Here is a 25,654-nt window from a genome sequence, read left to right as displayed (position 1 = left end):
ACCTGCTCCTCCCATAGTCATCCTTGTCTCAGAAAATGGCGCCATCAACTGATACACAGTTGTTCAAGTCAATGATTAGGAGGCATGCTTAACTACATCTTGCGGGTACCACTACTGAAATACATCCTGAATTCAGTTTCTTAACACCACCTCCCACCATCACCTCCCATCAAGCCAGTGTCCTCCCCCAACTGGACTACCTTGGACAGCCTTCTCACGGTTTGCCCTGCTCTATTCTTTCCCCTCTTTGATACTTTCTCCATAGAGAAGCCAGAATGCCCTTTTATTTACTTTTTCGTTTATAGTTGTGTTTTAAAATATTTTTTCTTTCCTATTATGAAATTATGACTGTAGAAATAGAACACAATGTAAAGAAAAAAATAACTCATGGTCCCACTATCTGGATAAACATTTTGTTTTGTTTCTTTTCAGTCTTTTGTCTGTGCTCAGGTGTAATTATTTCAACGTGGTTGTTATTTATTTTTTTTAAAGAAGTAAATTTTGCAAAATAAAAATATACATCTTGCAAATAATAGCTTTATTCCCGTGTTGAAACCTACCAATGGCTTTCCATGGCACTTGAAATATATTCAGACTTCTTGTTGTGGCCCAGAAGGCTGTGTACAAGGTAGTTTCTGCCTATGTTTCTGATACCTTCTTCCACTTTTCTCCTCTCATATTCTGGACACAGCTTTTTTTTTTTTTTTTTTTTTTTTTTTTTCCCCTCTGTCTCTCTCTCTTTCGGGAACACAAAAAATTCCAAAAAGGTTCTGAAACACAGGAAATTCCTATAAGGTTCTGGAATACAGAAGGTTCCAATAAGTTTCTGGAACCTTGTTCCCACCGGCAGGACTTTTGTGTTTTCTGTGCTTTTTCTGCCAAGAGCATTTCTGCCCCTTTCTCTGTTTACATCTGTATTAGTCTGTTTTCACACTGCTATAAATAAATACCCAAGACTGGGTAATTTATAAAGGAAAGAGGTTTAATTGACTCACAGTTCCACATAGCTGGGGAGACCTCCAGATCATGGTGGAAGGTGAAGGGGAAGCAAACGTGGACCGTGGCAGCAGGACAGTGTGTGAGGGAGCCAGAAAGACTACCATTTATCAAACCATCAGATCTCGTGAGAATTCACTCATTATCACAAGAACATCATGGGGGAAACCACCCCCATTCTTGGTACCAATTTCCTTTGTTAGTCCGTTCTCACACTGCTATAAAGAACTGCCCCAGACTGGGTAATTTATAAGGAAAAGAGGTTTAATTGACTCAAAGTTCTGCATGGCTTGGGAGGCCTCAGGAAACTTACACTCATGGTGGACGGGGAAGCAGGCACATCTTACATGACAGCAGGTGAGAGAGCCTGTGAAGGAAGTGAAGAGGGAAGAGCCCCTTATAAAACCATCAGGTCTCCTGAGAACTCCCTCACTATGAAGAGAACAGCATGGGGGAAACTGCCCCCATGATCTAATCACATCCCTCCCTCCACACAGGGGGATTACAGGTCCCTCCTTGACACATGGTGATTACAATTCCAGATGATATTTGGGTGGGGACACAGAGTCAAACCATATCAACATCTGTCTCCTTTGTATTATGCAGGTTTGGGCTCAAATGTTACATTTTTAGAAGGACTTTTCTTTTTAATACCAGAGCTAATATAGCCAGTCACAATCTCTATAAGTCACAGTCATCTTTCTCAGCCATATTACTTGGTTTATTTGATCACAGTATTGATTACTGTATGAAATGGCCTTATTTGTTAAATTTTGTATGATTTGTCTTTACCTATCTAAATGTGGGGATTATGAGAGTAGAGACCTTGATTCAGCCAATGACTGGAATAGTACTTGCCTTCTGGTAAATAAATATTACAACAAATAAATATTAGTTGAAGAATGAAACCCCCAAATGTCCTTATTCATTCCTTATCTGATTTTTTAAATATTTTCTGTCAGCCAGCCAGTCATTTGCTTATTATTTTATTCTGCTTATTATTTGTATAATAAGCAGAAGTTTTGGCTTTGGTGAATTCTCATATGTTATTTTATTTCTATTTTGGTGATTACTTCCTTTTTCCTATTTATGAAATCTTTAGCTTTAAAGATACTCTCCCACATTTTCTTTTAGAAGCTTTACCCTTTTAGCTTTTACCTTTAAGTCTGGGATTCATTTCAGTTGGATTTTTATGGGTGGTATATAGTAGTGGTTAAGGGTCATTTTTTTTCTCTTATGGATTTGAAGATCTGGCCCAAAAGATTTTACTTTCCCATTGAGTTGCTTCGGCACCTTTGTCAAAAATCAATGGCCTCATAAAGAAGGGTCTGTTTTTAGGCCTGTGTTTTTTTCCATTGATCTCTTTATTATTATGCCAATACTACCCTATGCTAATAATTTTAGCTTTATAATAAACCTTCAAGGCTGCAATTCTTATGACTTTGTTTCTTTTTGATGATCATTTTGTCTATTATTTGTATTTATATATAAATTTAGGAATCAGCTTATCAATTTTCATACAAAAACATGGTTGGGATGCTAATTAGTATTTTATTGAATCTGTAGGTCAATCTGGGAAGACCTGACATCTTAACGTTATTAAGTTTGCCAGTGTATGGTCATGAGATTTCTCTCTATGGGTGTTCTAAGATTTGTCTCTCAACAGCAATTTGTCATTTTCAAGGTAAAAGTCATTGGGCATTACATATAAATATATATATATATATATATATATATATATGTATGTATATATTCTTTGAAGTTTATTATTTTTATCTGTCAGAAACTTCTATCATACTAAACACATATCTTTTTTTACTGAGCTCAATAGGAAGTTTGGAACACTTACTTTACTTGATTTCTCCATCGTATGAGATACTGTTGGATTCTCCTCCTCCTTTTAATCTTGCTCTTAGTTTTATATAATCATGTACTCCTTTCTTCTACCTTTCTGTCCATTCTTTTGCAGTCTTTTTTTGTAAGTACATCTTCCTTTGCTCATTCCTTAAATGTTCACTTTCTTTTGTGTTTCTTACTGAACTCTCCTCATTCTTACCCTCTCCTGATTGATCTTATCCATTGAATTGGCTTCTGTTACTTCCTAAATATGACGGACTTTTAATATGTATTTGCAGGATTTTCAGTTAAAATCTGAACTCTATTTCCCTTCCAAACTTACTATACCTCCCAAATCCCTTTCATCCGCCCACTTGAAATCATCTTTGTCATCTCCCTCTATCTTCACTCTTTACATTCAAGTCTGCTAGATTTTACCTCCTTCATACCTCAAATTCAATCTTTGTCTTTATTGCCACTGTCTTTGTCTTGGCAGAGATAACAATCATCTCTTACCTTATTACTACAATGGTATTATAAATAGACTTCCTCTTTTCATATTTTATTTCAATATATACTTTGCTTTCCAGCAACCTTCCAAAAATGCAGACTTTATGGTGCCAGTTTCTCCTTTTATAAAGCCTGTTAGTGGGGACCCTCTCATCTTTAGAATAAAGTCCTAATTGCTAAAACAGCCTACAATTCCTGCATGCTGTAGACCCTGCTTACATCCACAACCTCAGCTCCTACTGTCTCCCCTTCTAAAGCCCATACACTAGGAATATAGAACAACTCACAGTTCCAGGAACTTGCTATTCTCTCTTACCTTTGTGCAAGTTTTCCTTCTCTGTAAGAGGCACTTTTCCTCCTTTCAATTGGATATTCCTTTTCTAGCTCAGATAACACTCCCTCGGGAAATTTCCCTGAGCCCCCAAAGCTAGGATATGTCTGTCCACAATGCTCCTACAGCAAGCTGCGTTTATTCTCTTAGTATTGATCTCACTGCCCTAAAGCTGTGTGCTGACTTGTTTTCTCTTCTACTAAACCATAAGCTCCCTGAAACAAGAACTGTATCTAGTTCAGTGGCATGTTGTAAGAACTCAAAAAAATACCTGTTGATTGAAATTGAGTGAATACATAAATGCATATTTTATAATAAAATTGGAGGATATTGGCTATTTGGAAAACCTTAGTTCATCAAATACACCAGACACCAAAATAAATTTCATATGGATTTTAAAGAATTGAGTATTATTTTAAAAGCATTAAGAAAATAAATAAAGATAAATATCTACTTTCATTCTTTAAAGGATTTTCTAAACATAAAATAATTTTAAAAATTACCAAGGAAAAGCAATAGTTTTAATTATTTACAATCTACAATAATTAAATAATTATTTCATTATTTACAATCTAAGAGTTGTATGTCAAAACCTACCATTCAGTAAATACTTTTTGTTCACTTGCATTTCATCTATGTATTTATTTATTCAACAAATAATTGTTGAGGGCTTACCACGTGCTCAACAGAGAACTTCCTGTCCTCATGGAGTTTACATTTTAGTGAGGTATAATAAACAAGTTAAGATATAATTTTTTAAATGCTGATATGTCCCATTGCCAGAAAAATAAACCACAAAAGACTAAAAAAGGATAATATGTGTAAATTCATAAAAGTATTTCAGAAAACAATTAAAACTCTAATAGAAAGGTGGGAAACGACAGTTACAAAACAAACACAAAAGATATGAGAAATTTCCATTACATATTATAATAAAATATTATATTTTTCATCTTATTATCAAACATTTAAAAAAATTTTATGGCTTATTTATTTTTAAATAGATAATATATATTTACAGGACAGAATCCAAAAGTATTAAGTAACTTACAGTACAAAGCAAGCCTTCCTTTAATCTCTCTTCTTCAACCATCTAGTTCTTTCTAGAAGCAACCACTCCTGCCAAATTCCTATTTAAAAAAAAAGTTTTTTAGTTTAATGCTAATGAGGGTTCATTGAAAGAGTACTCTCATAAACTGCTAGAGAAAATAGGAAATGATTTAATCTTTTTGGGAATAAAATTATTGACACATATCAAGCCTTAAAATGTACATTATGACTTAATAATTCTAAATTTTGATTCTCTCCTAACAAAATAGTTACATATATCATACAATATACAATTTATGTACATGGGTAGACACCATGATAAAAGAAATTGGAAACAATCTAACTATTCAAAACCAGTCCATTAAATGATAGTGCACACATAAAATGGAGTGTTATACAATTATTAACTCTCATCTGTAGATCAAAGTATATAATTTTGAATAGCAATGTAAAATATTTCAGCATTGCAGTGACCACATTTTTCTGGTTCATCCACAGCATCCCAGCTCCTAGAACAATTTCTGGGACACTATAGGCATCTTGTAAATGTGGGTTGTATAAGTTAAATTGCATTCAGAAAAGCCTAGAAGCTGCAGTATCAGCTAGGACTGTTTTCAAAACTCACCTAATCTAAGAATCACCTGGAGAGAGCTTGCTAAAAACTAGATTCCCAGGCCACTATCTACAGATTCTAACTAGAAGGTGTGGGAATCTTGTTTTAATGAGCAGCCCAAGGTGTGAGAAACACAACATAAATAAGAAAGTGTCTAATGAGAAATCAGGAAACACTTGAGTATCAAAATGTATACAGTACAGGATTTATAAGGGAATTTATTGTTTAGGAGTAATTCAGGAAACATATTACACAGGTAATAGGAGATTTGAGAAGTCAAAGAAAGGAAAAAATGTGTACCATCAGGAAGTTACCACTATTCCTGGGACAGAGGGAGAAGTTGGTGTCGGCAGAAAGCAAACACCAAGGTCACCTGGAAAGGTCACCTGAAAGAAACCAAAACTGCAGTAACCCTCTTGGGCAGGGCCTGGAGCCACAGAGTAGACTCTACCACTGCTGGAGAAGTTGCTGATGCAGACAGGGGTTGTGAAAGCACGTACGGTTCTTGGCCCTCCAGCTTCCCTCCATTGCCTCCCATTGGCCAGGCCCAGGTGGAAGCCAGTTAACATGGAAGGCCAGCAGGGTTCTGTGGATAGTGATAGTGAAGCCAGCAGGGTTCTATCTTCCTGTGATTTACAGAGCAGAGCAAAGACAGGGCAGGCAATGGATATGAGGACAAACAGGTTCAGCACCTGTACTATGCGTTAAGACACCATGTCACACCCACATGAAAGTACTGCAAAGGTCTGCACTGAAGAGTGTAAAAATCATTTATTAATGTTCAGTTCATTTTAAGAAACCATCCCCTTAACCTTCATGTTAACTTTCATGATCTTCCACTCTGGGGCACTTGTGGATAATGGATTGTATTTCATGCAAATGACCCCTTTTAAGAGGATCTATAAATGCTAAGTGATCTTAAATGCAGAGTCCAAGACCTACCTCCTATGAGACAGTGGTCTTCTAGAGAAATGGTGGTCTGTAGGCAAATAAAGCCCAACAGAACAGCACAATTAGCCAATGATTCGAATGTGTGAATTTGTAGAATCTCTGTGGCAGTCATTATGCACATTTAGACAGTTTCCCAATAGGATTGTGTGTCATGAGTATTTTCAGAGTGAGGTTGGGTGCAGGAACAGAAATTTGACTAAAATAGTCTAAACAGAAAGGAAAGTATTTTTATCTAGCTAGGCAAGAGAAAAAGACACTTTTCAAAAGCTATCACTCCACTGGAGTTAGTATTTTTGTTAACATCACACACCTTGTCTAAGGAAAATAAGGACGTGTGTAAAATACTACTCTTGAGCTGAGGTGAGTAACTGTGTGACTTGGGAAGAAAGCACTGCAAAGTTCTCATCACCACTTATGCAAAGTCCAAGTGCCATGAAATAAATTCCCCCAAATCTCTCTTTTGTCTGTTTTTCAGCCTTCTCTCCAGCTACAGTCTGCCACATATTTCGTGCTAGTTTGTGTGGTCATTTACTTTCCTGTCTCTGCTCATGCTTGTTTTCTCTTTCTAGAATATTCCTTATCTACTACATGACTTACATCTTCTGGAAAATTCCTGCTTATCCTTTAAAATTCATATCAAACCTCACAGCCCCCAGTAAGTCATCTAATGGCCATTAAGCACATTTAGACAGCATCACAACAGGATTGATTGGGATTTGTTTCCCCACCCAAATCTCATGTTGAAATGTAATGCCCAATGCTGGAGATGGGGCCTGGTGGGAGATGGTTGGATCACGGGGGCAGTTTCTAATGGTTTAGCAGCATCCCCCTAGTGCTGTGTGATAGAGTTCTCTTGAGATCTGGTGGTCTGAAAGTGTGTGGCACCTCCTTCCTCTCTCTCTTGCTCCTACTCCTGCCATATGAGACATGCCTGCTTCCCCTTCACCTTCTGCCATGATTGTAAGTTTCCTGAGGCCTTCCCAGAAGCCGATGCCACCATGTTTCCTACATGGTCTGCAGAGCCATGAGTCAATTAAACCTCTTTTATTTATAAATTACCCAGTCTCAGGTATTTCTTTATAGCAATGTGAGAACAGATTAAAATACCTTATTTGATTTCTGCTCTCTATCCTTTCTAGCACAGCTCCCTCCCTTGGGCTTCCATAGTAGTCTATGCATATATCTAGCAATTCTACTTTTTTTCAATGTATTTTAACTGTTTATATATCTTTCTCCCTCATGAGATGATCAGGAATAATTTTTAATCCATCATTCCATATCTGCCTCTCAGTCCTATGCTTGGCATATAACAGATGCTCAGTAAATATTTCTTGGAGCAGATTTAATGGAGGTAATAGTTGAAACTGTGGGAGAAAGTGAAATATCCAAGAGAAAGATAAATTTATTGTGATTTTCATGTACACTTTTATTTAAGAAGCCAGGCTAAACTCACAGGAAAATGTTAAAGTAGATTGATTTATGTTTTCTTTCTTAACAAGTATTCCTGATTACATTCATTTCCTTTGTTCATTCCCTCTTAATTTACAAGTAGCATGTTTTCATCTGAAATGGAGTTACTGTTTGCTCATTTTTATTTAAATTCACTTAAATATTAAGTTGAACCATAAGAAATTATTTTTTATGGGTCAAACATAGATATTGGCAATTTTTATGGTTCAACCCAAAGTATAAGGATTCAGAGCTAAGTAGCTTCATTGCATCAGTTTACTGTATTTTTACACAGCTCACATAGTCTATGTTTCTTGGTATGAGTAACTTTTATAGTTGATATAGATCGTCTCAATGCAGGTGCTGCCTCGGAATGTAATGAAACTTCAACCCAGGTACTATTTAAGCAAAAGTTGGAAAGTCATGCATCAGAAAAGCCTCAGAATGGACTTTTGTATTCTGTAGAAAAGTGAACTCTCGTACTGCCTCTGTGTTCACTCCCAACTTTCAATTGCATGGCTCTATGAGAGTTAAAATAATGTAACATTATTAAAATGTTAATTTGTTCCTTTATGCCTATCCCACAATTGAATTTTCAAGTAGTTGATTACATTTCTCTCTGTGGATTCAGGAAACTGTTAGTCTCACATTATCTAATTTACTAAGCATATTTTGGCCCTTACAACTTTTCCATTAGTCATTCCTAAACACATTTAGCACAAATGAATAAGACGATGTTTGATATTAATGAGCATTGCTTCCTGGAGGAAGACCAACCCAGGACTGCAGGTACAGTGGGAAACCAAATGTTACGATTCCAAAACCTTGGAACACTGAACCTATAGTCCTCTGCTTGGGCAAATTTGATCTTATCAGAAAAGGTAACCTACTATTAATATGAATGTTGGCATTAAGATGAATTTCAGTGTTATTATGAATGTTGGCATTAAGATGAATTTCAGTGTTATTATGAATGTTGGTGTTAATATTTTGCTTACAGCTGACTCCTTAATTCCTTCTAACTTTTAAGCTTAAAACAATCTTTGAAACTAAATGAGCTGAAAATACCTTTTAAAAAGAAGAAACACATTTAGATTCTGGTGCACAGCAAATTCCCTGTGAATAAAAGTTCCAAATTTGTGATTCTATTTGCATTTCCATAAACACAGAGTCTTTGTGCTTATTATGTGACAAATAACAGTGTTAGAAATGGGGTGTTTTAAGGCTCTAATTATGCATATGCTCCCATTCTCATTGGTGCATGTATTGCAATGTAAAGCTGTACAAAACTTGTACTTTGGGTTCAAGAGCTTTCTTTTTTTTAAGCTGATATTTTAATGAATTTTAACTAACATTGACCTCATTTAAAGGAGTTAAAATATTAAGAAATTTAAAAGGTGCTAAGGTGCCATTGCTCCTTGGGAAGCAGATTCTGAAATGCAGACGAGCATGCAAAATATGTATTAAGAAGTGCCCTGGGGGTCAACACCTGGAAAGGGAGGGAAGAAGCCAAGAGAGGGGAAAGGGAGAAGTTGAGCTGTGATGCAGGACCAACAAAGGTCTCAGTCAACATCTCAGTGAGCTCCCTGGCCGACCTGAGTCTTTTCAATTGGCCAAATCAGGCACAGGGGAGTATCCTCTAGATCTCACATTGATCAGAGAGGTTGGATTGTAGACCCCCAAGTTCTCACACTTACATGAGAGTTACAGGTCCCAGGCATGGTAAGGAAGGAGCAAAGAGTTCCAGAACTGAAAAGACCACGTGATCTAGACCACAGAGGAATTACGGGTAGTTGGTATGGACAAGGTCGTTCACACCTGAAGAAGAATCCCGGCATCCCATCACATGACCAACACACATGGGTTTGAGGCTGACTGTGGTTATGTTCCTATCTCTCTTGCTAAATAAACAAATTCAAATTAATTAAAATTTAATAAAATCAAAACTTTAGTTTTAAGTTGCACTAACCGCATTTCAAGTGCTTAGTAGCCACAGGCAGCTGGTAGCTATTGTGTTGGATAGCACAGAGCATTTCCACCAGACCTATTGAGATACTAGGAAATATTGAAAAACAGAATTGCAGAAAATTTTGCTGGACAGCACTGCTGCACATGTATTACACAGCCACATCTCTTGGAGGTCTTGCTGCCTCCCTGGGATACTTCCAGGAGGAGACCCCTTCCCCCCGTTCTCTCTCTCCTTCTCTAAATCTAGGGAGAGTCTCTTTTTAGTCTCCATAAAACATTAAAAAATATCTTCTTAATTCTATTTTTTAAATTTATAATTGACATGAATCTGATTTGGTTAACTATAACTGGAATCAATAGCAACTGAAAAGTGTTTTCATTCCCTTAAGGGAAGGCCAGGATATCAGGAAATATTTAGATTCATCCCACTCATTCAGTTAAAGAAAAAGAAGAAAACAAGTTGTTTTCATATTTAAACCATATAGACATTCATACCCTGCCAAAGTAACATCCACAAATATAACATTGGTCAGCAAAAAATTAATGGAAAGCAATAAAATTACATTGTCTATTTTAAAACCTAGAAAATACAACATTTTAGACTTAGCCTACTCCAAAATAAACCATGTTTGATAATACAAACCTTTCCATGAGTCACCTTCTATTGAAGAAGTAAACATTGTTTTGGTAGCTTTAGTTGCCAATTCTTCCATAGCATACTTCTATGAGTTTTGTAGTGCAGACTGCATCGCTTTTGAAACATTTCTGAACAAACCCTTCTAGCCTTGGTATTTAATGTCTTTAGTAGCATTCATTATTTTTTTCTTCTGGAGCTTCAGCAAAAGTCTTGCCGTCCACTTGTGACATTAAGGGTATTATTTTCCCCCAGTCTAGTGTTCAAAGCTTATATTGAAAGGGTGGAGCTGAAGATCTTCCCACAACGCACATACACCCTCCCATGAGACCCATGGAAAGAGGAAGATGTACTTCTTATGTTCATGGTCTCCAGTGAAAGGGAGCTGCATGGCATCACACATCCATACACGTGTTGCATTTTTACAAAATATAATTGAAAATTATACAACTGCACCATGTAAAAGACTAGTCTTGCACCACTGTATGATGTTGACACAGGAAAAGGACTGCCATCTAGGAGTGGGCATCCATCAGAGCCCAAACCTCCCCGAGCTTGATGCTGGGGTCTCAGATGGGGAATCATTTCTTCATTGGTTCATTCATCATTTATTTATTGAAGTATACACATGATAAACAATGGGCTAGGCTTTGGGGATTTATTGGAGCCTATAACCAAGAATCTCTAATTAAATAAGAAACAAATTACCCCATGTATTAATATGATTAAGTGCCCAACACTTCTGTCTAGTAAAGCTTAGATAGGAGAATGTGGCTTAGTGTTAAGGCTAAATTGGGACTCCCAATGCCCTTCCCAAATATATACTGTAAGTCGAGACACATGCCTGAGCCAGTAGATGGGAGGCAGATGATGATAGACCCTTGAAGTCCAGGCCTAGTCTTTTCCTTAATCAGTTGCATGAACCTGGATCACAGCTGTGCACCACACCAAGTCAGGCAGAACAGAGAAAGGCAGATAGCCTTCACCCTTGAGATAATGACCCTGCCCATAAGAGAGATGTGGCAGGTGAATGAGTCATTCCCCTGCCATAGAGAAGGACCTGGTGAGGGTAGAGAGGGGAATGGACACTCACTCCAGGTCACTCCTTGAAAACAAAAGGCAGACCCCATATTGGGCAGACCCAGGCAACATGAGAAGAGAGTTTTTAAACTTCTCCTGCTAGCAATCCCTGTCTCATAGGAATGTTGAGGGGTGGAGAAATTAAGTGAAATACAGTGTTGATATTGGTAGGTGTGTGCCTAGCACGTAGTGGAGTCTGACAAGTAGCAGCAGGTTCTCTTTTCCTTCCCCTCTCTGATGTCTTAGGAGTTCCTTGAGAGGAGGTACTGGGTCTCAATAATTTTTGCAGTATGTTTGTTGAATGGAATCATTTTATTTATTGAGACTTCAACATGCTTAGCACTGAGCTTACTTAGTTTTAAAAGTATTAGAATTATAGGACTTTTTAGACCAAAAAGGGGCCTTTCAGATCATAAACCGATTCCTTCATTTTGCAGAGGAAGAAACCAGGGCGCAGTGAGCCGGGAGAATGAGGATTCAAGCTCCCATCTCAGAGTGCTTTCCACTTTCCACTAGGAGCACCCCAAAGGCAGTGTTTCCATCACATCTGTATCCCCAACACCCCACAAAAGTATCTGGCATGTTGTTGTCTTGTCGATAATATTTGTTAAATACATTAATTCACCATATCTCCTGCTTGGCCTTTGGCAGTTGTAGATAGCTTGTGGCTTCGCGAGACTCTTGCAACAGATACAATTCGTGATATAACCTTCTCTACACTGCATATAGGGGCTTCAAGTTTGAGTCTTTCATGGAATATGTAGAGAAAAAATTAAAATGTTTTAGTATCTTTTAAAATACATATATGTATATTTTTTAAGGTACATCAAGGAGTAATGCACCACTTGGTGTGTGTTTCATTTTTATTTTAGGTAGGAGAAGTAATCACAGGTGGTCAGCGAGCATTCAAATCTATGAAAACTACCTCGGACAGGAGCAGAGAACAAACAAATACAAGGTACCACCCTCCCAGACTGTCCTTAGCTGTATTATATTGTTCTCTTCATTGTCATTTGTTGGTTGGAATGCAGCTTCCAAAATTGTACAATTATTTAAAGTTCTGAGATGATTCATACCATGAATGTTAATGTTTATTTCCCAAACCGTAGACTCTTGCTTTGTAGGGCTCCTCATCCCTAAAATCAAATCTGTGTATATACAGGTCCCAATGTCTCGTCATAATATAACGACTGGTAATGTCAACACCAATGACAGCTAACATTTACCAAGTGCTTGCTTCGTGTCAGGTGCTATTCTGTGTGCTTTACCCATATTAAATACATTCAATCCTCATAATTTTTATGCTCAGTTTCCAGTTAGGGGAGCTGAGGGAGGGGGAAACTTAGAGTGTACTGAAGGTCATGTAGCTATGACATGCTGGGACAACCTTGCTGGTACCGTTGCTGTCACTGCCTCCCTTTTATGATCCGTGTGTCACTCCACAGATGCCTCAACTCTCAGGGGTACTAGGGCCCCTCCTGTCAATCTCCTGACTGTTGGTCATTTTCTGGCTTTTGCTTAAATTCCTTTCCCAACAGGACCCTCACCCTCTCAAGAGAGTAGTCATTCCCTTCTTGGTATCCTCTACTGTTAGACAGCCTCTCTCTGTCTCTCTTTGATTCCTAAATGAAGGTCCAGGCTCTGCTTCCTGGAGACCGTCAGAACCAAGCCAATCTCCCTTAAGCAATGACATCCCTTAAAGTAATTTGCACAAAGCTCTCCCCTTTCTCAGTTCTTCTCTAGAATGAGATCCCAGTTCTTCCAACTGTCCTTCTGCTTCTTATGATTTTCAGACTCTTATCATCCAGATGGTAAAATCTATTTTGAAGTAAGGCAAACTATCTTTGTGATACAAATGTATATGCTAGAATTACCATCATAAAAATACCTGAACAAGAGCTATATATATGTGTTGCATAATAAAGCAGTCAGGCATTGGTATATTCAAAGACAACTGCTGAAGTTTTGTAGAGATTTTTAAACATGGGGTTTGTTTGAACAACAGGTATGTAATTGAATTCCTACCGAAAAATGGGTTGCTGTTTTTAACCTTGGAAATCCACTCTATTTCCCAGCTTAGTGATTTCCATTGCACATACAAGATTCATGGGTATTATGTCTATTATGAATATTCACAGTCATAATTAACCCCCAGCAGCATCAACACATGGAAAGAGTCTGAATCTAATTTGTGAGGAATCAGCAATGGAAAGCCAAATCATTGCAAACAGTTCGGAGCTGGTTTTCAGACCCCAGGAAAACTATCATTACTGTGATTACACTTGAGGATTCAAGATGTCTTAGCACGATTCTTCATAGCAGTCCCTCCTGTGGTATTTTTGCAAAGCCTTTCTTTTTCATTTTGATTACTGAGAAAGGATCACACCACAATCACATGTAAAATGCCTGTGTGAAGGTAGTTTATGGTGCTCCTTAATCATTGGCAAACTCTATTGTGCACGTTATCCCAGCTTCAGGCTGGGCAACCCCATTAACCAAGCAGCTGCCCATTAAAGCTGCTCACAGGGACTGGGGTCAGGCAGGATTGTTGGTTTTAGGCAAAGGACTGTAGATGCAGCCGTCCACCGGGAGGGCCACAAGAGGCCCCTTGCCCATCTCTTGGCAGAGTGGTTTGTTTCTCATGCTGAGGAGAAAGTGAATGGAGGGGGAGGAGCAACTGGAGTAGGGTTTTATTCATCAGGTCATCAGTGACCTCTTGTGGTCCCATAACACTGTAAAATGAAGGAAGAAGCACAAATTCCTCCAAACGAAGGGATTTATTGAGTGCTGACTCTGCTACATGATGCTATGTGTTGTCTGTCTTTCATCTTCAAGAATAACACTGCAGATAAGTGCTATTATTTCTAATTTACTGAGATTGAGAGATGGCATTTCCCAAGATGTCAAAGTTGATAAGTGGTAGAACCAGGATTATGAAACCTCAGGCTTGTTCTTCTTCTTCTTCTTCTTTTTTTTTTTTTTTTTTTTTTGAGGCAGAGTCTCGCTCTTGTCAAGTGCAGTGGCAAGAGGCTGGAGTGCAGTGGCAGGATCTCGGGTCACTGCAACCTCTGCCTCCTGGATTCAAGCGATTCTCCAGCCTCAGCCTCCCGAGTAGCTGGGACTACTGGTGCCTGCCACCATGCCTGGTTAATTTTTGTATTTTTAGTAGAGACAGGGTTTCACAATGTTGGCCAGGCTGGTCTCAAATTCCTGACCTCCTGTGATCCGCCTGCCTTGGCCTCCCAAAGTGCTGGGATTACAGGTGTGAGCCACCGCACCCAGCCAGACTTGCCTTCTTAATCTCTTCCTGGTGTCATTTGATGAACAGAAGATTTTGATTTTAAAACAATCAAAATTATTAAACTTTTTTATGGTTAATTATTTTATGTTTGTTCTGTTCTAGAAATTCCATCCTGCCCTGAGGTCATAAAAGTAGTCCTTTATGTTGTAAGGCTTTATACTTTTGCTTTTCACATTTAGGTATAATTTGAGGAAACGTCTAATCCATCAGGAATTAAGTTTGTTTAAAGTATGACAATTTAATTTGTCCCATTGTGGGCACCCTACTGTCCCTGTGTTTCTTATTAAGATGGTTATTCTTTCTACATTTGTTACGAAGGCCACCTCTGTCGTAGACCAGGAGTCCACATCTGTATGGGTTTGCCTCTGGTCTCTATTCTGCTCTACTTCCTTAATTTCCATAGTCTTATGAGTTTTATAACTGGTAGGAAATGTCTTCTCACCTTATTCTTGAAGAGTGAGTTGGCTAATTTTATCCCTTTGCACTTACACATATATTTCAGAATCAACCAAGCAATTTTTACTCACATACAAACACACACACAGGTATGTATTGGGATTTTCTTTGGAATTGTATTGGCCATATAGATCAATTTAGAGAGAACAGTTCTTAATAGTATTAGTATCTCTCTGTCCTTTTTTTGATCTTATTTGGTATCTGTTTGTAACTTTTCCATAAGCATACCAATGTTTTATTAATTTTTAGGTGTATGATATTTTGATGCTATCACAAATGTATTATTTTATTTTTTTCTCTGTTGCTGGTATATAGATTGCAATTTACTTTTTCATTGTGGTAAAGTACACATTACCTCAAATTGACCATTGTAATCATTTAAAAGTGTACAATTCGGTGGCAGTTAGTATATTCACAATGTTGTACGACCATCACCACTAAGTAGTCTACTTTTGTGTTTGATTTTGTAGCCAGCAACTTTACTAATCTCTCTTATTATTTTATTAATGTATCTGTGGGTTCTTTTAGATTTTCTGTATGCCTGCAAAGAACCACAGCTTGCTTGCTTGCTTTCCGATTGATCCTTATCTCTTGTATTTCCTCTTCATGCCTCACTGCACAGGGAAAGGCTCCAGGACAGTGTTGAGTAGTGGAGTGAGGGCAGCATCTTTGTTGTTCTGCTAAGTCCAGAGGGAAGCGTTCCAGTTTTCCATCTTTTACTAGGAAGTCTGAGACATGTTATTTAAACATAGTAATTGTAGTGGTTTTATAGTTCATGTTTTCATATTCCAATATCTGAAGTTTTTATATTTCTATTTCTGTTCTTGTTCTATTGGTTCTCGTGCTTTTTTTTTTTTCCTTGAGTAGTCGTCTTTTTTGTTCATTTATTTGTTTTTTTAAGACAGAGTTTTGCCTTTGTTGCCCAGGCTGGAATGTGATGGCATGATCTTGGCTCACTGCAACTTCCGCCTCCCAGTTCAAGCGATTCTTGTGCCTCAGCCCCCTGAGTAGCTGGGACTACAGGCACCTGCCACCACGCCCAGCTAATTTTTTGGTATTTTTAGTAGAGACAGGTTTTTGCCATGTCGGCCAGGCTGGTCTCAAACTCCTGGCCTCAAGTGATCCGCCCGCTGCAGCCTCCCAAATTGTTGGGATTACAGGCACGAGACACTACGCCTGGCCTAGTTGTCTATTTTTTACTGTGAGCTACTGCATATAGAACCATCTGAGTGACCTTGGACCAACCCTTTCCCCCCACTTTCTTAGTTGTAGTTGACAAGAATAACTGTGGAATGTGCTGGGAATACAACATCTTGAGATAAGAGGGAGCTGGCTAAAATAGCCTCAGTTCTGTTTCAGTTGCCTTCCCCACTCCGGAAACATACATCCTTCAACGCTTTAACCCACTGATCACGTGGTCCAGGGGTATACAATCTAGGATGGGCTGCTTCCTGGGGTCCTTGTGCTGTGGTACAAGTGGGGCATGTGCAAAAGAGATGCCATCTCCTTCCCAGGCAGCTTCCCTGAGCCCCCTGCGGTTTCTGTTGTCCTCTGCTGCCTGTCTATAAGTAATAAATCTGCTTCATGTAGCCTGTTGTGTATGGGGGTGTTCTGTTTTACTGGACCCTGGCAAGTTGGTAACCAGTGCACAGGGAACTTGCTTCACACTCCACTGCCTAGGAAAATATTCTGGTGGTTCCTTAGAGGCCTGGGAGGTACTTGGCCAGGGAACATTGGCATGTGCTGCAGAGAAAAACACTGCCAATTTGGAACCACTTTCATCTAAATTCAAGATTGAGGATTTTTAACCAACAGCTGCTGTAAACTTTCTAGCTTGTGGTGACAACTCAGTTTTCCTCTGCCCCACTGAAGCAGCTTTCCTCGAAGTGCCTTGTGGAGGTGAGCAGTGGGCATTTACTTCTCAGAGAAGCTCTTTGGCACTGCACCCTTATTATGGAGAGGGTGTCCCGTTAGACTGCCCACCTGGCATGCTCAGGGCCTTGGCCTCTGTCTTCAGACTCTGTAAGGTCAGATTGACCAAAGCACAACTTCAAGGGCTCCCCAAGTGCTCTCAGGGCAAAGGTGACTTCAGGCCTCTGCTCCTCCTTCTGAGTTCCCACTTTCCTTGATTTGTGACCTTGCAGTTCCTTGTGATTTTATCAAGTCTTTCATGATCTCAAGAAAGTTTTCAGTGGGAGGTGGGAGTCTTTGGTCCAAATATGCTAGCTTACTAGGAAACCAGAAAAAAGTTCTTTCTTTATGTTTTTTGATAAAAGGAATGAATCTCTGATGTGTTTTGCACTTAGTGATTAATTTTAGGCATTTTCTTTTTTCTTGCTTACTTCCATGATGTTAAATCTGTTGATTTTGTCTTCCAGCTATTCTACTGGATTCTAGAGGTGATGTTTCTGACAGTCAGGTCGTGGGTAAGACCAGTGATGGGCGTCCGTCCTAGAGGCCTCTGACATTAAGGCGGGGAAAGCAAAGGTGAAAAGGCCCCTCCCCACTTTGTTTTGGAGATTATTGTGATCTTCAAGTGCCCCAGGCTTAGCTGCTTACTGTTTTTGACTCCAGAGATCCATGAGTAATTAAAATCCTCTATTATGATTTAGTTCATTCCTCACAACATCTGAATTAGTTGTGCCACAGATAACAATGTACTAGCTAAGTTCATGGCTTATTACTGAGACCAGAAATTATGGCCCAGGATATATACTGGGAAATGAGGTAGGCCATTCTTCCTCAAAGTCAAGGACAAAATAATTATACTAGATGAACTTAGATATATACTTAAAACACAAATATCATAGCCTTTTAAGTAAGAACATAATAATTAAAAAGTAGGGCTTTATTTATAATGACTATAATGAAGGTGTTTGAACTTCCTACATTTGTTTTGGAATAAATTTTCCAAACTAGAAAGTGCCTGGCCAGGCATGGTGGCTCACATCCTTAATTCCAGCACTTTGGGAGGCTGAGGCAGGTGGATCACCTGAGGTCGGAAGTTCAAGCAGCCTGGCCATCTTTTGGCAAAACCCCATTTCTACTAAAAAAAAAATACAAAAATTAGCCAGGCATGGTGGCATGCAGCACCTGTAGCCCCAGCTACTTGGGAGTCTGAGGTGGGAAGATCACTTGAACACAGGAAGTGGAGGTTGCAGTGAGCCAAAATTGCACCACCGCACTCCAGCCTGGGCAACGGAGCAAGGCTCCATCTGAAAAAATAAAAATAAAAAAGTGCCATGTCAATGTCAGTGGCTATTGTTATTAACATCATTATTAATTATTTGTACAACTGAGTAACTATACTAAATGATAACTATAATTATAAAAACTTAGTCATAACTGGTCTAATTTACCTATGTAAAAATTTACGTTAGGTTATGGGATTCCTGGTTCCCAGGGAGATGTTGGCATTCTTTTCCCTATATTTCTGTATGTACTGATAGATGACATTTGGACCTGACTTGTATAAGGATATATTTGGCTACGAGTAATAGAATACCTAAGATAGACTTAAAAATGTAGGATGTTTTATTACCTCAAATAACAATTATTCTGGAAGAAGGTGTTTTTGTAGGTGGTTCGGCAGCTTAGCAGTTAAGACCCCAGGTTAGCATCTTTGTATTCTGTTGGCCTTTCCTTGAGTGTCACAGATGAACTCTAGAGTTTCAAATAGCAAATCCTTATACTGGCACCCCCCATAAGAAGGAAGACTTGGTAGGCAAAGTGGTAGCCTCCAGGATGGTGGTTTCAGTGGGGCATCATGGCTGGAAGGGCACAGTAGGAGCTCCTAGAATGCTGATAATGTTCTGCTTCTTAATCCACGGTGCATTCAGTTAATGAAAGTTTCACTCTTATGATTTGGGCATTTTGCTATACATGTATTGCACTCAATAAAAAGGCTTAAAAAGTTATTAAAATCACCACATAATAAACGAAATATCAGTGCTTGCCCCAATACTGAGCCTGACCCTCAGCTTCAGCCTCTGATGGACCCCTGCCCCTCTCCCTTCTTCCACTTCTGCATCAGTGAGGTGGGGAAGGGATGCGGGGGCTCAGTGATGGGTGTGAGCACCAGATAAGACTGTGAACATACAGGTTGAGTATCCCTTATCCAAAATGCTTAGGACCAGACTTGTTTTTTATTTTGGATTTTTTTTCAGATTGTGGAATATTTGCATGATACCAGTTCAACATTCCTAACTGGAAAATCTGAAGTGCTCCAATGAGCATTTCCTTTGAGCATTATGTCAGTGCTCAAAAAGGTTTAGATTTGGGGGCATTTTGGATTTTGGAACTTCAGATTAGGGATACCCAACTTATGTTGAGAGATGATTAAAAACAACAACACATCCCTTTCAGTTCACCAAAACAACTGGGTCAATTTGGTCAGTCAAATCGTCTCACTTGGGCACATATCATATAGCTTCTTTAAGTACAATAATGATTATATAACATCTCTTTTTGCTAATAACAATAATATTATTTTATCTACTTAGTAAGGTTATTGAGGATAGGAAGACAGCTTTTCATTTTCAGTCTCCAGGACACACACAAACCTGGGTGCATAGTAGGTACTCAGTAAACACTTATTGAATGAACAGATACATGAATTGTGAGCAGCCAATGAAAGAGAAGGTAAATTATCTTGTTTGTGACAAATAGCAATTAAAGAAAAATTGGAAATTTAGACAACAGGGCAGTAACAAGGAGTAGTGTCAGTGTTCTGTTTTCTAACTACATTTACATGACACTAAATATAGTAAATAGGTTGTTAAACATCATTCCCTTCCTTAAAAAAGAAATCAGTCTCTAACTTTCCTAAAAATAAACACACTCCCTACTGCTTGAGTATCTCAAAGCGAAAAGAAAAATGTAGTGGGCGAGGTACCCCAGTTCCCAAGAGTCGTGGCACCGGCACTTGCCACAAAGCCAAAGACTTTCAGCATCTTACCTTAAACAGTTCTCCAGGCGGCCTCCCCAACAGATTACCTTACCCAGCCATCCAAGCTTCCCTCACTTACCCAGCCCTACCCTCACTGGACTGGGCCAGACACTCCCGCTCCTTCCCCCATCCCCACCTTGGGTACCTCACTCTCTGAAGGTAACAGGTTAAGAGTAAGCAGAACAAATGTTTTCTTACCTTTTGTCAGTGTTACCTCTCTGGAATGTTCTTCCTCCTCAAAATCTTGGAAAATACCAGCCCCACCCCGCGCCCAGTGCCAGATGCCAAGTTCCCTTACTCTATGATTCCTACCGTAATTCTTTCCGGGCCTTGGTGATGGTTGTCTCCTTGTGCTTCAACCTGGCTTGTTTATCCTACTTGCAGAGCCCTTGCCACGCTGGTGCAAAGTAGCCCAGTATACGTGTGTCCTCCTCATTTGATTGTGGGCATACACCATGTCTTACTCATCTTTAAATTCCTAGCACTGATTACAGCACTGGGCACCTAAAAGATGTGTGCTGAAAAGCATACTGAATTTCATAACGAACTCTTATCCATATCCTAGTACATATTGACTGATGCCACCCTTTTCCTACATGGCACTGACACTTACGGAATGCCTGCTGTGTTTCTGGCACTTCTCTACGTCCTTTACATGGATGAACTCATTTGATCTTGACAACAGCCTTATGTTCATTGTCATCCCTATTTTAAAGATGAGGTCTTTGAGGCACAAAGTGGCTGAGTAATTCACAAGGGCCAACAGCTTAGCAGGTAGGAGCCAGGATCTTGCAAGCTACCCTAGACACTCTACTGCCTCTTGACTTGCAGTAATGAACTTTGTTTCTTGATTACCAGGAAATAAATGAGATGAAAGAGGGCCTAGCAGGTTGTGGGTTTACTGTGTCATAACACAATTGGTTTCAATATTCATGCTGACCTAGAGAACTGTTTGTTTTGATGGATATAAGCTTATGTGCCACATGTCAAGAATAGAAAACCCCTCTTTATGCTGTGTGTTTGGTACCTAATTTTCTATGAGGAACAGTATGGGTGATGTTAATACCAGAGATTTGGATTCAGTTCCCAGCTAGTTCTGCCTATGTTTATCTGTGGGAACTTGGCTGACTATTCCTCTTGTCCTCCCACTGGGTCTGAGGATTTGATGACACAAGTAAAGGCCTTAGCATGGGGCTCAACAAAAGGCAGTGTGTCGAGGGTCCCCAAGATGACCCCAGGTTCAGAGATTAATTAGAGGAACTCACAGGACTCAGCATATAATCACACTCATGGCTAAGATTTATTGCAGCAAAAGAATAGGAGGCAAAATCAGCAAAAGGCTAAGTCCAGAAAAAGCCAGGTGCAAGTTTCTAAGAGTCCTTTCCCTGTGGAGTCACACAAGACATGCTTAATTCCTCCTGCAATGGGTTGCAACAACACATATGAAATGTCCATCAGGGAAGCTCATTAGAGATTCAATGCTCAGGGTTTTGTTGGGTGCTGGTAGGCACCCTCTGCCTAGTGGGTGCCAATGCTATGCAGTCCCAGAAGGAAAGCATAAACCAAATTGACTGCACACATTGCAAGGCACAGTGAGCTACCCTGATTGTTTAGGGAAAGTTTCATGTGGCTGTAGGGAACAGCTTACCAGTCAATGCCCAACCTTGCAGGCCTACCTTCTAAAGATAGTCATCTCTGGCCTGCCATGTTTACTGTTTTCTGCACAGTCAGCCACCAACCTTATGATGACTGACTATGCAGAAAAGAATAAGCAGCATCATAGCTGATGCCACAAAACTCTATTCTTTTAAAGGCAGGTGGTTCAGTGAATATTGTGGCACCGAGGCATCTGAGAGGAAGGTGTGCTCAGGATATGACCATTCATTTCTCTGGAGCATTAATTCTCCCTTTATTGCTCACCCACATTCCTTCACATCTTTCAGGGCATCTTCGGATTCCCACCTCTTTCACCCCTTCAGAGGCTACACAAGCCCCTTTTCCATTTCTTCTCCTTCCTGTGGCATACGGAGTTTATGGTATGCTGTTTGGGCTTCTGAATATACTATTTTATATTCTTTGTATATTTTGTATTTTTTATTCAGCAGGTCCTTGTGTATTAGTCAAAATAGTGTGAAGGATCAAAAACTAAAATGACTTCAAGGACTAGGCAGATTACAGAAATGAAGGGAGATGGTTGCAAGGAAAATAGAGAGTTGACACTTTCAGAAGAACACCCTGACAAAGGGTGTTCATGGAATGAGCTTAGTCTGAGGACATCAGTTTAGAGCTCCTGAATTTGATTGACTGTGATTTTCTTTAGGTCAGAGATAATTTCTTATATAATTTCATTATTTCCCCAATAGAAAAATAATATTTTTCATCTATTCAACAATATTTATTCAATACAGCCATATGCCTAGGATAAAAGATGAAAAAGACAAAACCTTTGCTTCAAAGATACCAGTATTGTATGAAAACAGACAAAGAATGAAACAGGTGTATGAGAGTGTCATTAATTCTGTGTTCAAGCACTACACTGTGCTATTAGATATTACCAGGAACATTGTCTATTTGCACAGACCGTGGTTTCCCTGGTGCCTATACAACACCTGGAATATCATAGATATTTAACACGTATCTGTTCAATGAACATTTGAATGAACGGTGCAGTGATTCCAAAACAATTTGACTGATTATCAATATCATTTGAGGGAACGTTATAAAAATACAGGTTACTGGCCCCAACACCAGACTTATTGAATCAAAATTGCGGGGAACGCAGCCCAGAGACCTGATTATCTACATCTATATCTATATCTATATCTATATCTGTATCTATATCTATATCTATATCTGACCATGATATTGGGAACATTGGCCAACCGAGGTGCCCCCTTCTTCTGTTTCATGCTTGCTATTGCTGAGAAAACTGAGTGAGTGCAGAAGGCTCAGGTTCTTGTGGGAGGAGAGGTTGGTGGGGCTACACTTTACTATGCACCTGAACTTGCCGTGTAGATGCCCCTGCCAAACCCCTGCAAGTTAGATTGTCTGAAGCAGGAGGGTCCAGAAGCCTGATGAGCTGCATTCAGGAATAAGAGCTGCCTGGAAGGATTCAGTTATTGATCTTGGCTGTAGGGCGTTGCCTGCTGTATCATTTCAGTTATCAAATACAAATTCTTAACGAGGTAGAGTTTCACAGGTGACGTCTCCTCCAACTGCCTGTGCATTAGTAGAAACCCAGTGACTTTTTTTTTTTTTTTTAGAACTTTTCTTCTCCACAGGTCAGAGTCTTGATTCTACAAGGCTCTAAGCTTCTTGATGCTAGGGACATTCTCTCCTTTTATTTCTGTGCTCCAGGCATATTACTTGCCAACGTTTGCTGAATAAATGGATGGGTGAGTTGAATCTGTTTGAAATTTTAAATGATGTAGTATCAGTTTCTGTTTGTCTTTTTTTGTTGTTATAGAAGCAAGCACATGGAGAAACTAGAAGTAGACCCTAGCAAGCACTCATTCCCTGATGTGACTAACATAGTTCAAGAGAAAAAACACACACCCAGAAGACGACCTGAACCCAAAATTATACCAAGTGAGGAAGACCCAACCTTTGAAGACAACCCTGAAGTGCCTCCGCTGATTTGAAACATCTGGCTGCGTTGCCATTGGCTGAGACCCACCAGGTCCAGTTTTGGTTGGTGTAGAGACCATATGCATATTATTCCTGGGATAAACACAGAGTTATTTGTCAATATCGCTGCTCCAGTGTTTTAACTCTTACTTTGCATAGTAATATCCTTAAGATAGCTTAAAATTAAAATGTATGTCTTAAATGCTATAACTCATCATTTACCTATAATAAAGGGTTGGTATTGAAAATGTTTAGTAAGATCATAGAACTATTGCATAAAACACTGATTATAAATACTGTCTACTTATGCAAAGTATTAATTCATAGATAAAAGGACTGAGTATTAAATTGGTACTTCAGCAAAGTGGTCAAGCTTAGAAGTTAAAACTGTAATTTCAGACCCAATTGGAATACTTTAATATGATTTTAAACAGCATTTCCATTTTCCTTCCCATGATGTGTCTGCTTTCTCTGGTGGCATGGTATAATGGCAAGAATATGAGTTTTGAAACCAGACACTCTATATTTGGATTCCAGCTCAATCACTTTGTAAAGACCTTCAGCAAGTCCTTTAATTCTCTGAGCCTTAGTGGCTTCATGTATAATCTGGGAATAATAACACTTGCCTCACAGGTTTGTCTCAAGATAAACTGCAGAAAGCACTTAGTACAGTGTCAGCCATACATTTAGAGCCTCTTCTCTCTCTCCTTCTTCCCTTTCTCCTCTCTCTTCTCCTCCCTTTCTCCTGTCTCTCCTCCTCCCTGCTCCTTCTTCCCCTCCCTCCCCAATTACTTTTCTCCCCTTATTCTTTTTCTTCACCTTTTTACTCCCCATCCCACTCCTTCTCCTCTATTTCCTTCTTTACTTTTTTAATATCCTACCTCTTCTTTATCTAGAACATTATGAATTCAATATTTCACATACATTGTAGGACAAATTACTGTTACTCTGATCATGATATAGCAACATTTAAGTCAGTTTCCCCAAATATTCATTCAACAAATACTTATTGAGCAACTATTGAGTGCTAGCCCCCTCTCTGTTCATCAGGGATTTAGTAGTAACAAAGCAGACAAATACATACACACAGACTATGTCAGGTGGTGTTCAGAGCTGTGAAGGAGAGTCAGAGTGAGGGAATCAAGGGTGATGGGTGCTTTTTCAGACAGGGCCTTTCTCTATTAAACAGGCTTCCAGTGGAAGACTCTGCTAATGTTTAGCAGATAACCAAAATGCATCAGTTAGAAAAAAATATGATGAGAATGAGGGACTGGTTATAGGAATGCAATTGGGCACAAATGTGGGAAGAGCTGGGTAGTGAAGCTCTAGAAGGGAGAGGTAGAGAATTGGAAGAAGAAGCACTGGTACAGGTAGACAATTCAGAACTTGCACAGAATCTGAGAAGCTGAAGTAGGACTGTGATTGGGAGCTTGTGGAGAGGTCTATGGAAATTATCATGCTGCTGAAATTGTTGCCTCTATTTATCTGCTACCCTTCTGGTCCGTGGCCAAGATCCTGGTGGGTGGGCTTGGAGCCAGCCTTCGTCAGCAGGCCTGCGGTAAGAAAGATGGGATGGACACACAGTGGTGGAGATCAAGGATCAGCTGCAGCAGGCTGGGTCCCTCTGCATCTGTCCATCACTGCGACTGATGGCAATGACTGAGTATAACACCTTTCTTCATGGTCAACTCTACCCAGGAACCACGTAGGGAAGGAAATTCTGGAAAACAGCTCCCAGCCTTAGCCAACTTGACATATCATAATCCAACAGAACTCAACCTCTACCAACTTGGAAATCATGTACATTTGTCAGGACTGTATTTAATTTCCACATAGAGAGAAAGCAAAATTATACTTTTGACCAAACTAATAGAATTATCCATTAAACAAACAAAACTGTGCCA

At 39.3% G+C, this 25,654-nt stretch overlaps 1 protein-coding gene across 21 annotated transcripts in view; it reads left to right on the top strand.

Moving 5' to 3' along the window:
- Nucleotides 1-25,654, top strand: part of DNAAF11 (dynein axonemal assembly factor 11) — a 132,498-nt gene extending 106,844 nt beyond the window's left edge. For 20 of the 21 annotated variants that reach the window (NR_135908.2, NR_135906.2, NR_135907.2 and 17 more), the window contains 2 exons: nt 12,291-12,376; nt 23,590-25,654. Coding sequence is in view for 11 of the 21 variants with exons in the window: in XM_011516950.3 (XP_011515252.1) it covers nt 12,291-12,376; nt 23,590-23,764 (261 nt within the window). In the remaining 10 variants the exon portion in view is untranslated. Of the gene's footprint in view, nt 1-12,290; nt 12,377-17,553; nt 17,663-23,589 lie in introns of all 21 variants that reach the window. The other variant, NR_073525.3, reaches the window with a different exon arrangement.

The sequence above is a fragment of the Homo sapiens genome, chromosome 8, assembly GCF_000001405.40.
Source record: "Homo sapiens chromosome 8, GRCh38.p14 Primary Assembly".
Lineage (NCBI taxonomy): Eukaryota > Metazoa > Chordata > Mammalia > Primates > Hominidae > Homo > Homo sapiens.
Note: the sequence above shows the minus strand (reverse complement) of the source record. Positions and strands in the feature narration are given on the sequence as shown.